Source organism: Homo sapiens, chromosome 3 (genome assembly GCF_000001405.40).
Source record: "Homo sapiens chromosome 3, GRCh38.p14 Primary Assembly".
Classification (NCBI taxonomy): domain Eukaryota; kingdom Metazoa; phylum Chordata; class Mammalia; order Primates; family Hominidae; genus Homo; species Homo sapiens.
In genome coordinates, this window is record NC_000003.12 from 50,871,614 (window position 1) to 50,886,889 (window position 15,276).

At 39.4% G+C, this 15,276-nt stretch overlaps 1 protein-coding gene and 1 pseudogene across 22 annotated transcripts in view, besides 1 other annotated feature; one reads left to right on the forward strand and one right to left on the reverse strand.

Annotated features, from left to right (window-relative positions):
• The window catches only part of DOCK3 (dedicator of cytokinesis 3), a 709,272-nt gene that overhangs the window by 196,687 nt on the left and 497,309 nt on the right, over positions 1 to 15,276 (forward strand). The gene's annotated exons all lie outside the window — the stretch shown is intronic.
• Positions 2,052 to 2,281: an enhancer, noted in NCBI's record as "active region_19915". NCBI's record gives its function as "activates an Ori minimal core promoter by ATAC-STARR-seq in GM12878 lymphoblastoid cells {active_cell/tissue: GM12878}" and the evidence as "EXISTENCE:reporter gene assay evidence [ECO:0000049][PMID:35858748]".
• ST13P14 (ST13, Hsp70 interacting protein pseudogene 14) lies at positions 5,452 to 6,041 on the reverse strand (annotated as a pseudogene).

Consider the following 15,276-nt stretch of genomic DNA (forward strand, 5'->3'; position numbering starts at 1 on the left):
CCTATTTCTTTCTCTACCTCCTCTTTAATGCCAACTCTCAGATTTGCTCTTTTGAGGCTATTTTCTAAAACCTGTCATCTTGCTTGTTTTTTATTCTTTTAACTTTTGTCTCCTTTGTGTATTTTCAAATAGCCTGTCTTAAAGCTCACTAATTCTTTCTTGTGCTTGATTCATTCTGCACAATGAGTCATTCTTGATTCAACAGACTCTGGTGCATTATTCAGTACATCAGTTGCATTTTTCAACTCCAGAATTTTGGCTTGATTATTTTAAATTATTTCGATCTCTTTGCTAAATTTACCTGATAGAATTCTGGATTTCTTTTCTGTGTTATCTTGAATTTCTTTGAGTTTACTAAAAACAGCTATTTTGAGTTCTCTGTCTGAAAGATCATATATCTCTGTTTCTCTAGATTTGGTTCCTGGTGCCTTATTTAGTTTATTTGGTAAGGCCATATTTTCCTGGATATGGTCTTGATACTTGTAGAGTTTTGTCTGTGGTAGGCATTGAAGAGTTAGTTATTTAAGGTAGTCTTTGAGTTAGTTATTTGTTGAGCTTGTTTGTCTTTCTTAGGAAGGCCTTCCAGATATTCAGAGGGACTTGGATGTTGTGATTTAAGCTGTGTCTGCTTTAGGGGGGACCCCAAGTCTAGTTAATGCTGTGGTTTTTTCAGACTTGTAGAGGGACCACCTTGATGGTCTTGGACAATATCTGGAAGAATTCTCTGTATTACCAGACAGAGACTCTTGTTCTCTTCTCTTACTTTCTGCCAAACAAGCAGTCTCTCTCTCTGTTTCGAGTCACCTGAAGCTGGAGTTTGAGTGACACAAGCACCTCTGTGGTCACCACCACTAGGACTGTGCTGGGTCAGACCTGAAGCCAGGTCTCACTGGGTCTCACCCAAGGCCTGTTGTAACCACTCCCGGGCTACCATATATGTCTGTTCAAGGCCCTGGAGCTCTAGAATGAGCAGCTGGCAAAGCCAGTCAGGTCTGTGTCCTTCCCTTCAGGGTACTGAGTTTCCCCAGTTCCTGGGTGAGTTTAGAGGTGATATCTAGGAGCCAGGGACTAGAGTCAAAAACCTTAGAAGTCTACCTTATGTTCTCTTGTACCATAGCTGAGCTGGCACCAAAACCACAAGACACCATCCTTCCCCTTCTTTCCTCCCCTTTCCGAAGGCAGAGGAGCCTCATCCTGTGGCTCCTGCCATCACAGGCCCACGGGGCCTACTGCCAGACTACCACCAATATTTTAAGGCCAAGAGCTCTTCAGTCAGCTTGTGGTGACTCTTTCCTGGCCTGGGAATCACCTTCATGGCAGTGGGCTCCTCCCTGGTCCAGGACAGGTCCAGAAATGCAGTCCAAGAGCCAAGTCCTGGAATCAGGGACCCAAGAGCCTGCTTTGTTCTGTACCCACCCATGACCACGCTGGTTCCTAAGGTGCAAGAGAAAGCCTTGTTTCCTTTTCCCCTCCACTTGTCTCAGGCAGAAGGCTTGCCCGGTAGCCAACACAGCTGGAAATGTGCTGAGTTTCCCCCGAAGCCAGCAAGTCTCAGATTCTCACCCAAGACCCTTGATGTAATACCTGGGTATCACTCCTGGTTATTCAGGGCCCCAGGGGCTCTTTAGGTAGCAGATGATGAATTTTGCTAGGATTTTGCCCTTCCCTTCAAGGCAGCAGGTTCCCTTCTGGGCCAGGGTATGTCTAGAAATGTCATCTGGGAGCTAGGGCCTGGAAAGGGGACCTCATGACCTCACGACTCTGAGCAGTGCCTTATCCTGCTGTGACTGAGCTGGTATCCAAGATGCCAGACAAAGTCTTCTTCACTGTTTCCTCTCCTCTCCTCACACAGAAGGAAGGGGTCTGTTGGAGCTGCAAGCTGTACAGCCTGGGGTTAAGGGAGAGGTGATGCCAGCACTTTCTTAGCTACCCTAGCTGTTATCTCATTAGATTGTGTGTTCCCTAATCCACTGGCTCAGGGCCTGGTTCACCACTGGGACTCACCTAGGAGTTACAGTCCTTGTGGCCTAAACTGCCTTTTAAATTTATTTAGAGCCCCAGAGCCTTTAGCCTGAGGTGGTGAGACTTTCAGGAACTCAAGTTCCAATCACTGAGATCAGCTATTCTCCTCTGCCTAGGGCTGGTTTAAATGCTTTCTTCATGGGCACACATCAGCCAAATTTATTCTGGTTTTTATTTCTGCTCTAATGGAACAGCTTTGAGTTCAGTGCCTCCCAATTTCCGCGCTGTTTCTCCCCCAGCATACAGAATTGTTTTCTGCACTATGCAGTAGCTGCTATGGGTTGGGGGAAGGGTGATGTCTGTGATTCAAAACTGTTTTTTCTACTTCTTCATTTTCTCTTTCAGTAATGTAAAGTTAAAATCGGATGCTGTAAGTACTTGCCTGAGTTTTGGTTTTCATGAAGGTGTTTTTTTTTTTTTCTTTTCTTTTGTTTTTTTTTTTTTTGTTAAATTGTTGTACTCTTAGTGGGGTGATCAGTGGAGCTTTCTATTTCAGCATCTTGCTCCATCTTTTTCTCCTGTCATTGGTATTTTGATAGGAATTGCATTAAATGTATAGATTGCTTTGGGAAGTATAGATATTTTGCTGAATGTGATAGGTCACACCTGTAATCTCAGCACTTTGGGAGGCTGAGGTGGGAGGGTCACTAGAGCCCAGAAGTTCGAGACCAGCCTAAGCAAGATGGCAAGACCGTATGTCTGCAAAAAATTAAAAGAAAAAATTAGCTGGGCATGGTGGGTGTATTTGTAGTCCCAGCTACCTGGGAGGCTGAAGCAGGAGGATCCCTTGAGCCTAGGAGTTTAAGGCTGCAGTGAGCTAATTGTTCTACTGCACTCCAGCCTGGTGATGAAATGGGACCCTGTATCTTAGAAATAAATAAAGAAAAAAAAAAACAAAAAAAGTATAGGCATTTTAACAATATTAATTATTCCAATCCATGAATCTGGCATACCTTTCCATTTATTTTGTGTCCTTTTCAGTTTCTTTCATTAGTGTTTTGTAGTTTTTCTTGTAGAGATATTCCACTTATTTGGTTAAATTTATTCCTAAGTATTTTATTTTATTTTTGGTAGCTATTGTAAATCAGATTGCCTTTTTGATTTTTCACTGGTAGTATATGTAAATGCTACTGATTTTTGTATGTTGAGGTTGTATGCTGCAACTTTACTGAATACGTTTTTCAGTTCTAAGCTTTTTTGTGGTGGAGTCTTTAGGTTTCTCTAAATATAAGATCATTGTGGCCATAAAAAAGAATGAGTTCATGGGCTTTGCAGGCACACGGATGAAGCTGGAAGCCATCATTCTTAGCAAACTAACACAGAAACAGAAAACCAAACACCACACGTTCTCACTCATAAGTGGGAGTTGAACAATGAGAACACATGGACACAGGGAGGGGAACGTCACACACCGGAGTTGTGGGGGAGGGGTGGGAGAGCATTAAGACAAATACCTAAAGCATGCGGGGCTTCAAACCTAGATGACGAGTTGATAGGTGCAGCAAACCACCATGGCACATGTATGCCTATGTAACAAACCTGCACGTTCTGCACATGTATCCCAGAACTTAAAGTAAAATTAAAAAAAAAATTATGTTGTCTGCAAACAAGGATAATTTGGCTTTTAAAATTCCAGTTTGGGTACCCTTTCACTTGTTTCTCTTGCCTGTTTGTGCTGGCTAAGACTTGTAGTACTATGTTAAATAAAAGTGGTGGAAGTCTTATCTTTGTCTTGTTTGAGATCTCTTTGGAAAGACTTTCAATTTTTCCCTGTTCCTTCAGTATGATATTAGCTATGGGTTTGTTATATGTGGCCATTATTGTGTTCAGGTAAATTCCTTCCATACCCAGTTTGTTTAGAGGTTTTATCATGAAGGAATTTTGAACTTTATCAAATGCTTTTTCAGCACCCATTGAAATGATGATATGGGTTTTGTCTCTGATTTTGTTGATGTGATATATCATGTTTATTGATTTTCACATGTTCAACCATCCTTGATTCCCTGGGATGAATCCCACTTGATCACGATGAATGATGTTTTTGATATGTTGTTGAATTTGAGTATTTAATATTTTGTAGAAGATTTTTGCATTTATATTCATCAGGATTATCGGCCTATAGTTTTCTTGTTTGTTGTGTCCCTGTCTGATTTTGGTATCAGAGCAGTGCTTGCCTCATAGAATGAAGTTGCAATCATCTCTTCCTCTTTAATTTTTGAATTAAAAAAAAAAAAACAACTGTTGTGTTTTGAGAGTCTTCGCCTGTTCGCTGTTGAGATAATATGAAACATTTTCATGATATATTGAACAAGAACAGAGCTGAATAATCCAGCTCTACTGGAGCATTAAAAAAAATTCTTTACCATCGTGTAAGGTTTAAATGCAACTGACAAGAGGGTGCATGCTATGTAAAACATAATAAGATTACTGCTGCTATACCAAGTATTTCCAGTCTGTTTCTGAGAAACAGAACCTGTTCCTCAGGTTCTGTTGAAATACTGGAATATCAATATTTTTATCAGAATTATTCATGTTAAAAAACCATTTAAAAAGAGAAATCAAAATTCCTCAGTAGTCATGTATTCAACTCAAGCTTTATCTACTTAAATTAGTTTTATTTGCCTCCCATTTGTAAACCTGTGTTTCACTAAAACCAGAGCAATAAATCTTCCATACTTAAGTATCTTTCTTGCCTAATAAAGGAAAAATACAAAATGATTATTAAAGAAAAATATATGAACTAACAAATCCTTTTGTTTTAAATATTTTAAGGTTTAAAATATTTAGTATTTTATTCAGTATAAATATTTAGTGAATAAATATTTAGTATTTTATTATAGTTTGTAATTTCTAGCAGGAACACATGATTTGAATGAATATCCTAATGGCAAACCACAGTAAAATATTCAGCTGCATTTGGGGAAGAGGGGTAGAGATGATCTTGAAAGCCTTCTAGTTGTCTTGATCAGAGGTACACCGGTTTGTATTATTGTAACATTTATTAGGTGATCTAGTTTGCTTTTCCTTCACCTAGGGCCTTTTACTTGTCCAAAGGACATTTTCCTTCACTTTAAAAATTTGGCTGACAATTTACTGATGAGATTCATAATTTTTTTGGTTACTCTGGTGTTTTGACATATTTGCTGTGTTCTGGGCCACATCCTAGAAGATCACTGTAACTTCTGTTTCCTGCATGGCTGCAAGAACCTCTAGGTCAAGCTTGTCCAACTCATGGGCCATATGCAGCCCAGAACAGTTTTGAATGTGGCCCAACACAAATTTGTAAATTTTCTTAAAACATTATGAGATTTTTTGCAATTTTTTTAAAAAGCCCATCAGCTCTCGTTAGTGTTACTGTATTTTATGTGTGGCCCAAGACAATTCTTCTTTGAGTGTGGTCCAGGGAAGCCAAAAGATTGAACACTCCTGCTCTAAATCACTAAGAATTTCATTGCATCCAGGCATTTCTGCCATTCTAGGCATTGCTCCAGGAAAATTACCAGGCATTCCCCCTGGGAAAGCCACCTGGAAAAGAGCCATACTGAGCTCCTGAATGTCATCTGGCTTCTTTCTCCCTCTGAGCTCTCTCATGATCTTACGGAGCCTTCTTAACCCTTTTTATTCTTTCTTTGATTTCTTACTCTTGATATTTCTATTCAACCTTTTTCTAATGTTGTGCAATTTTCTTGGCCCTCAGTTGAACTTCTTTCAGCATTGTACTAGTATCTTCATCATAATCCAGTTATGGTCAGGGTCAAGATTATAGCTGCTTCTTTCCAATGGCCCAGAAATCTGTGTGCTTTCCCTCACCACTTATAAGGCTGAGCCAAATCAGAATTTATTTCATTTGTTCTGTCAGTCTCGAATGGCAGTGTTTGGCTTCTGTAATGTGATGAAGATACTGACTGTGTTGACATACAGAATGGTCAAGCGAGGATTCAGCTTGATGGCATCTCTGAACAAGACAGTGGCTTTCTGTAGTGCACCATTATCTAGGGCTTCAATGGCAGCCACTTTTTCTTTTCTTTTCTTTTCTTTTCTTTTCTTTTTCTTTTTTATGTTGGAGTCTCGCTGTGTCACCAGGCTGGAGTGCAGTGGCGTGATCTCAGCTCACTGCAACCTCCGCCTCCTGGGTTCAAGCAATTCTCCTGCCTCAGCCTCCTGAGTAGCTGGGATTACAGGCCTGCACCACCACGCCTGGCTAACTGGGAGTAACCTAACTGGGAGACATCTCCCAATAGAGGCTGACTGACACCAAATACAGCCAGGTGCCCCTCTGAGACGAAGCTTCCAGAGGAAGGATCAGGCAGCAACATTTGCCGTTCTGCAATATTTGCTGTTCTGCAGCCTCCGCTGGTGATACCCAGGCAAACAGTGTCTGGAGTGGACCTCCAGCAAACTCCAACAGACCTGCAGCTGAAGGTCCTGACTGTTAGAAGGAAAACTAACAAACAGAAAGGACATCCACACCAAAACCCCATCTGTACGTCACCATCATCAAAGATCAAAGGTAGATAAAACCACCAAGATGGGGAGAAACCAGAGCAGAAAAGCTGAAAATTCTAAAAATCAGAGCGTCTCTTCTCCTCCAGAGGAATGCAGCTCCTCGCCAGCAATGAAACAAAGCTGGAAGGAGAATGACTTTGATGAGTTGAGAGAAGAAGGCTTCGGACGATTGGTAATAACAAACTTCTCCGAGCTAAAGGAGGATATTTGAACCCATTGCAAAGAAGCTAAAAACCTTGAAAAAAGATTAGATGGGTGGCTAACTAGAATAAACAGTGTAGAGAAGACCTTAAATGACCTGATGGAGCTGAAAACCATGGCACGAGAACGATGTGACGCATGCACAAGCTTCAGTAGCTGATTTGATCAAGTGGAAGAAAGGGTATCAGTGATTGAAGATCAAATTAATGAAATGAAGCAAGAAGAGAAGTTTAGAGAAAAAAGTAAAGAGAAACGAACAAAGCCTCCAAGAAATATGGCACTATGTGAAAAGACCAAATCTGTGTCTGATTGGTGTACCTGAAAGTGACAGGGAGAATGAAACCAAGTTGGAAAACACTCTGCAGGATATTAACCAGGAGAATATCCCCAAGCTAGCAAGGCAGGCCAACATTCAAATTCAGGAAATACAGAGAACACCACAAATATACTCCTCGAGAAGAGCAACTCCATGACACATAATTGTCAGATTCATCAAAGTTGAAATGAAGGAAAAAATATTAAGGGCAGCCAGAGAGAAAAGTCGGGTTACCCACAAAGGGAAGCCCATCAGACTAACAGCAGATCTCTCGGCAGAAACTCTACAAGCCAGAAGAGAGTGGGGGCCAATATTCAACATTCTTAAAGAAAAGAATTTTCAACCCAGAATTTCATATCCAGCCAAACTAAGCTTCATAAGTGAAGGAGAAATAAAATCCTTTACAGACAAGCAAATGCTGAGAGATTTTGTCACCACCAGGCCTGCCTTACAAGAGCTCCTGAAGGAAGCACTAAACATGGAAAGGAACAAATGGTACTAGCCACTGCAAAAACATGCCAAATTGTAAAGACCATCGATGCTAGGAAGAAACTGCATCAATTAACGAGCAAAATAACCAGCTAACATCATAATGACAGGATCAAATTCACACCTAACAATATTCACTTTAAATGTAAATGGGCTAACTGCTCCAATTGAAAGACACAGACTGGCAAATTGCATAAAGAGTCAAGACCCATCAGTGTGCTATATTCAGGAGACCCATCTCAGGTGCAGAGACACACATAGGCTCAAAATAAAGGGATGGAGGAAGATTTACCAAGCAAATGGAAAACAAAAAAAAGGAAGGGGTTGCAATCCTAGTCTCTGATAAAACAGACTTTAAACCAACAAAGATCAAAAGAGACAAAGAAGGGCATTACATAATGGTAAAGGGATCAATTCAACAAGAAGAGCTGACCAGCCTAAATATATATTCACCCAGTACAGGAGCACCCAGATTCATAAAGCAAGTCCTTAGAGACCTACAAAGAGACTTAGACTCCCAAACAATAATAATGGGAGACTTTTAACACCCCACTGTCAACATTAGACAGATCAACGAGACAGAAAGTTAACAAGGATATCCAAGAATTGAACTCAGCTCTGCACCAAGTGGACCTAATAGACATCTAGAGAACTCTCCACACCAAATCAACAGAATATACATTTTTCTCAGCACTACATCACACTTATTCCAAAATCAACAACATAGTTGGAAGTAAAGCACTCCTCAGCAAATGTAAAAGAATAGAAATTATAACAAACTGTCTCTCAGACCACAGTGCAATCAAACTAGAACTCAGGATTAAGAAACTCACTCAAAACCACTCAACTACATGGAAACTGAACAACCTGCTCCTGAATGACTGCTGGGTACATAACAAAGTGAAGGCAGAAATAAAGATGTTCTTTGAAACCAATGAGAACAAAGACACAACATACCAGAATCTCTGGAACACATTTAAAGCAGTGTGTAGAGGGAAATTTATAGCACTAAATGCCCACAAGAGAAAGCAGGAAAGTTCTAAAAGTGGCACCCTAACATCACAATTGAAAGAACTAGAGAAGCAAGAGCAAACACATTCAAAAGCTAGCAGAAGGCAAGAAATAACTAAGAGCAGAACTGAAGGAGATAGAGACACAAAAAACCCTTCAAAAAATCAATGAAGCCAGGAGCTGGTTTTTTGAAAAGATGAACGAAATTGATAGACCACTAGCAAGTCTGATAAAGAAGAAAAGAGAGAAGAATCAAATAGATGCAATACAAAATGATAAAGGGGATATCACCGCCGATCCCACAGAAATACAAACTACCATCAGAAAACACTGTAAACACCTCTACGCAAATGAGCTAGAAAATCTAGAAGAAATGGATAAATTCCTGGATATATACACCCTCCCAGGACTAAACCAGGAAGAAGTTGAATCCCCGAATAGACCAATAACAGGTTCTGAAATTGAGGCAATAATTAATAGCCTACCAACCAAAAAAAGTCCAGGACCAGACAGATTCACAGCTGAATTCGACCAGAAGTACAAAGAGGAGCTGGTACCATTCTTTCTGAAACTATTCCAATCAACGGAAAAAGTGGGAATCCTCCCTAATTCATTTTATGAGGCCAGCATCATCCTGATACCAAAGCCGGGCAGAGACACAACCAAAAAAGAGAATTTTAGACCAATATCCTTGATGAACATTGATGCAAAAATCCTCAATAAAATACTGGCAAACTGAATCCAGCAGCGAATCAAAAAGCTTATCCACCATGATCAAGTGGGCTTCATCCCTGGGATGCAAGGCTGGTTCAACATATGCAAATCAATAAATGTAATCCATCACATAAACAGAACCAAAGACAAAATCCACATGATTATCTCAATAGATGCAGAAAAGGCCTTCGACAAAATTCAACAGCCCTTCATAATAAAAACTCTCAATAAACTAGGTATTGATGGGATGTATCTCAAAATAATAAGAGCTATTTATGACAAACCCACAGCCAATGTCATACTGAATGGGCAAAAACTGGAAGCATTCCCTTTGAAAACTGGCACAAGACAGGGATGCCCTCTCTCACCACTCCTATTCAGCATAGTGTTGGAAGTTCTGGCCAGGGCAATCAGGCAAGAGAAAGAAATAAAGGGTGTTCAATTAGGAAAAGAGGAAGTCAAATTGTCCCTGTTTGCAGATGACATGATTGTATATTTAGAAATCTCAGCCCAAAATCTCCTTAAGCTGATAAGCAACTTCAGCAAAGTCTCAGGATACAAAATCAATGTGCAAAAATCACAAGCATTCCTGTACACCAGTAACAGACAGAGAGCCAAATCATGAGTGAACTCCCATTCACAATTGCTTCAAAGAGAGTAAAATACCTAGGAATCCAACTTACAAGGGATGTGAAGGACCTCTTCAAGGATAACTACAAACCACTGCTCAACGAAATAAAAGAGGACACAAACAAATGGAAGAACATTCCATGCTCATGGGTAGGAAGAATCAATATCGTGAAAATGGCCATACTGCCCAAGGTAATTTATAGATTCAATGCTGTCCCCATCATGTGACCAATGCCTTTCTTCACAGAATTGGAAAAAACTACTTTAAAGTTTATATGGAACCAAAAAGGAGCCCGCATTGCCCAGACAATCCTCAGCCAAAAGAACAAAGCTGGAGGCATCATGCTACCTTATTTCAGACTATACTACAAGTCTACAGTAACCAACACAGCATGGTACTGGGACCAAAACAGAGATATAGACCAATGGAATAGAATAGAGCCCTCGGAAATAATACCACACGTCTACAACCATCTGCTCTTTGACAAACCTGACAAAGACAAGCAATGGGGAAAGAATTCCCTATTTAATAAATGGTGCTCGGAAAACTGGCTAGCCATACATAGAAAGCTGAAACTGGATCCCTTCCTTACACCTTTTACAAGAATTAATTCAAGATGGATTGAAGACTTAAACCTTAGACCTAAAACCATAAGAACCCTAGAAGAAAACCTAGGCAATACCATTCAGGATATAGGCATGGGCAAGGACTTCATGATTAAAACAACAAAATCAGTGGCAACAAAAGCCAAAATAGACAAATGGGATCTAATTAAACTAAAGAGCTTCTGCACAGCAAAAGAAACTACCATCAGAGTGAACAAGCAACTTACAGAATGGGAGAACAGTTTTACAATCTACCCATCTGACAAAGGGCTAATATCCAGAATCTACAAAGAACTTAAACAAATTTACAAGAAAAAATCAAACAACCCCATCAAAAAGTGGGCAAAGGCTATGAACAGACACTTCTCAAAAGAAGACATTTATGCAGCCAACAGACACGTGAAAAAATGCTCATCATCACTGGCCATCAGAGAAATGCAAATCAAAACCACAATGAGATCCCATCACACACCAGTTAGAATGGCGATCATTAAAAAGTCAGGAAACAACAGGTATTGGAGAAGTTGTGGAGAAATAGGAGCACTTTTACACTGTTGGTGGGACTGTAAACTAGTTCAACCATTGTGGAAGACAGTGTGGAGATTCCTCAGGGGTCTAGAACTAGAAGTAACATTTGACCCAGCCATCCCATTACTGGACATATACCCAAAGGATTATAAATCATGCTGCTATAAAGACACATGCACACATATGTTTATTGCAGCACTATTCACAATAGCAAAAACTTGTAACCAACCCAAATGTCCATCAATGATAGACTGGATTAAGAAAATGTGGCACATATACACCATGGAATACTATGCAGCCATGAAAAAGGATGAGTTCATGTCCTTTGGAGGGAGATGGATGAAGCTGGAAACCATCACTCTGAGCAAACTATTGCAAGGACAGAAAACCAAACACTGCATGTTCTCACTCATAGGTGGGAATTGAACCATGAGAACACTTGGACACAGGGTGGGGAACATCACACACCAGGGCCTGTCGTGGGGTGGGGGAATGGGGGAGGGATAGCATTGGGAGATATACCTAATACAAATGATGAGTTAACAGGTGCAGCACACCAACATGGCACATGTATACATATGTAACAAACCTGCACGTTGTGCACATGTACCCTAGAACTTGAAGTATTAAAAAAAAAAGGCCATTTTGCTAGATATCTGTGAATGGCAAATAATCACGCACAAGGAGAAGTTTTTTCTTTATAAAAAAAAATGTTTGCTTCAACCATCAAACCTAATTAAGAAAATTCAAGAGAAAAATGAATGTCTATTATATTTACCCATGGGTTTGCTTACATTTTTTGTTTTTTCTTAGTGTAGTTCCATGGTTTTTTGTTTTATCATTTTCTTTCTGCTTAGAGAATTTTCATTCACTACTTTTTTTTAGGGTATTTCTGTTGATGACAAATTCTTTTTGTTTTCCTTCATCTGAAAATGTTTTGATTTGTCTTCCATTCCTGAAATGTATTTTTGGTAGATATAATATTCTAGATTGACAGTGCTTTTCTTTCAGCATTTGACAAATGTGCCACTTCCTTCTGTCTTCTATATTTTCATTGAAAATTATAGAAATTTGTATTTTAAATATTTTATACTTATTTTTCAAAAATCTAGAATGTAAAATACACATAACGTTTACCATGAGTGACATTTAGTACATGCATAATGTTTTACAAACATCACCATTATTATGTTTCAAAATGTTTTCATTTCCACAAACAGAAACTTCCAAGCCCATTAAGTGGCCATACTTTTTCATCCTCCTGCTGCTGACAACCATATGACTTCTTTCTGTCTCTGTGTATTTGCCTATTCTGAATATTTCATGTAAATGAAATTATATAATAGGTGTCTTTTGCATCTGCCTTCTTTCATTCAGCATAATGTTTTCTGAGTTCATTCATGTACGTTCCTTTTTATGGCTGAATAAGATTTCACTGCAAGTATATACCATTCTTTTTTTTTTTTTTTAATTTTTGATATGGAGTCTCGCTCTTTCAGGCTGGAGTGCAGTGGCGCCATCTCGCCTCACTGCAAACTCTGCCTCCTGGGTTCAAGCGATTCTCCTGTCTCAGCCTCCTGATTAGCTAGGATTACAGGCATCCACCACCACGGCCAGCTAATTTTTGTAGTTTTAGTAGAGACAGGATTTCGCCATGTTGGCAAAGCTGGTCTTGAACTCCTGACCTCAGGTGATTTGCCCGCCTTGGCCTCTCAAAGTGCTGAGATTACAGGCATGAGCCACCATGCCTGGCTGGATATATACCATTCAATAATATGAACAGCTCATTTATTTATCAGTTGATAGACATCTGGGTTGTAAACAGCTTTTGGCTATTGTAACTGGTGCTGCTGTCTTTTATGGTTTTGATGAAAAATCTGCTGATAATTCAGATAGGTTTTTTTCACTATAGGTAAGGTGTTGTTTCTCTCTTGTCAATTTTTTTCTTTGCCCATGGTATTCCAAAGTGACTATGTTGTAACTTGTGTATTTCCTTGGTTTTCTTCCTGCTTGGGATTCATTCAGCTTCTTGAATGTGTACGTTTATGTCTTTTTCCAAATTTGGAAAGTTTTGTGTCATTTTTAAAATTTTACATTTCAAATTAGACTTTTTTTTTTAAAGAGTTTTAGGTTTCCAAAAACATTGTGCAGAAAGTACAGGGTTTTCCTCCCCGCCCCCCACAGTTTTCCTATTATTAATATCCTGCATTAGTGTGGAACATTTGTTATAATGGATGAACCAGTATTGATACACTATTAATATTATTTGTTATTGACATTAGGGTTTACTCTTTGTGTTGTACCATCCTAAGGGTTTTACCAAATGCACAATGTCATGTAGCTATCATTACGGTACCATACAGAATAGTTTCACTGTCCTAACAATGTCCTTGTGTGCCACCTGTTCATCCTTTCCCACTTCCCCTAGGAACCTTGGCAACAACTGTGTTTTTTACTGTCTCTATGGTTTTGCTTTTTCTAGAATATCATATAGGTGGAGTCATACAGTATGTGGCCTTTCAGATTGATTTCTTTCACTTAGCAATATGCAGTTAATGTTTTCCCCATGTTTTTGTGGCTTTGTAGCTCATTTCTTTTTATTGCTGAATCATATTTCATTGTATGGATGTGCTACAGTTTGCTTATCCATTCACCTGTTGAAGGACATCGTAGTTTCTTCCAAGTCTTGGCATTTATGAAGAAAAATGGTATAAGCTTTTGTATGCAGTTTTTTTTTTTTTTTTTGTATGGGCATCATCTTTTCAACTCATTTGGGTAAATACCTAGGTGTGTAATTGCTGGATCATATGGTAAGGCTATGTTTAGTTTTGTATGAAACTGCCAGTGTCTTTTAAAGTGACTATACCATTTTGCATTCGTACCAGCAATGAATGAGGTTGAGTCACATCCTCACTAGTATGCCATTATTTCTTCATGTACTTTTTCAGTCCAACTGTCCCATTGGGCAGTTCTGATACCACCAGAGAAGGCTGACGGAGGGAGTCCTATTAATGCTGGTTAGGGGTGGAAGTCCAGATAATCCAGGCAATCTCCACTGCCACTGTGTGGTGGGAGCTTGTTATTACCTACTGGAGTAGAAGGTTTTGGGGTCCCTAAACAGTCAGCCACCTCTTACGTTACCCCAATGTGGGTTTGAGTGCTTCGTTACTGCCTGATGGTGGTGAAAGTCTAGTATCTCCAATTGACCTTACTCGTGTGGGTGGGGATTAGGTCACAGTTTTTTGGTGTGGGGGGCAGAGGGGGTTGCTGTTTGACAGCAGGGTAGTGGTTATTGTTTAAAAGTTTTCTGTCTTAATAGGATGACCTTTTCCTGGTTCTTTGGCTAGAGAGAGCAAGTTTTTGTTGGAGTTTCTTTCTGTCTGTTCCTGTTGGTATTTCCAGGTTTCCAGCTTCTTCACTTTAAAATAGCCTGATACATATGGCAAAAAGATAAACTAGGGAATTCACCACTATGTTATTTTGTGTCTCCCACATTCCCTAGTTGGTCTGCCTTCTTCTTTCCGCCTTTCAGAATATTTTTTATTTTGGAGATATATATATATATATATATATTCCAGAGTTTTTAGGTATGCACTAGGTGTTATTTGGAGAAATACTGAAAAGTATGTTTATTTCATCTTCCCAGAAGTGTATGCCAAGCATGTATATTTTAAAGATTTTTACTATCAATTGTTTTTTTAAAAACAGATAAACGATAGTCATCATTTAGCTATGGTTACGTGCAGTTGCTTTTTAAATCCTTTTTTTAAAAAATTTTATTATTATTATACTTTAAGTTTTAGGGTACATGTGCACAATGTGCAGGTTAGTTACATATGTATACATGTGCCATGCTGGTGCGCTGCACCCACTAACTGGTCATCTAGCATTAGGTATATCTCCCAATGCTATCCCTCCCCCCTCCCCCCACCCCACCACAGTCCCCAGAGTGTGATGTTCCCCTTCCTGTGTCCATGTGTTCTCATTGTTCAATTCCCATCTATGAGTGAGAACATGTATGTGGTGTTTGATTTTTTGTCCTTGCGATAGTTTACTGAGAATGATGATTTCCAATTTCATCCATGTCCCTACAAAGGACATGAACTCATCATTTTTTATGATGACTACTGGGTACATAATGAAATGAAGGCAGAAATAAAGATGTTCTTTGAAACCAGAGAGAACAAAGACACAACATACCAGAATCTCTGGGATACATTAAAAGCAATGTGTAGTGGGAAATTTGTGCACTA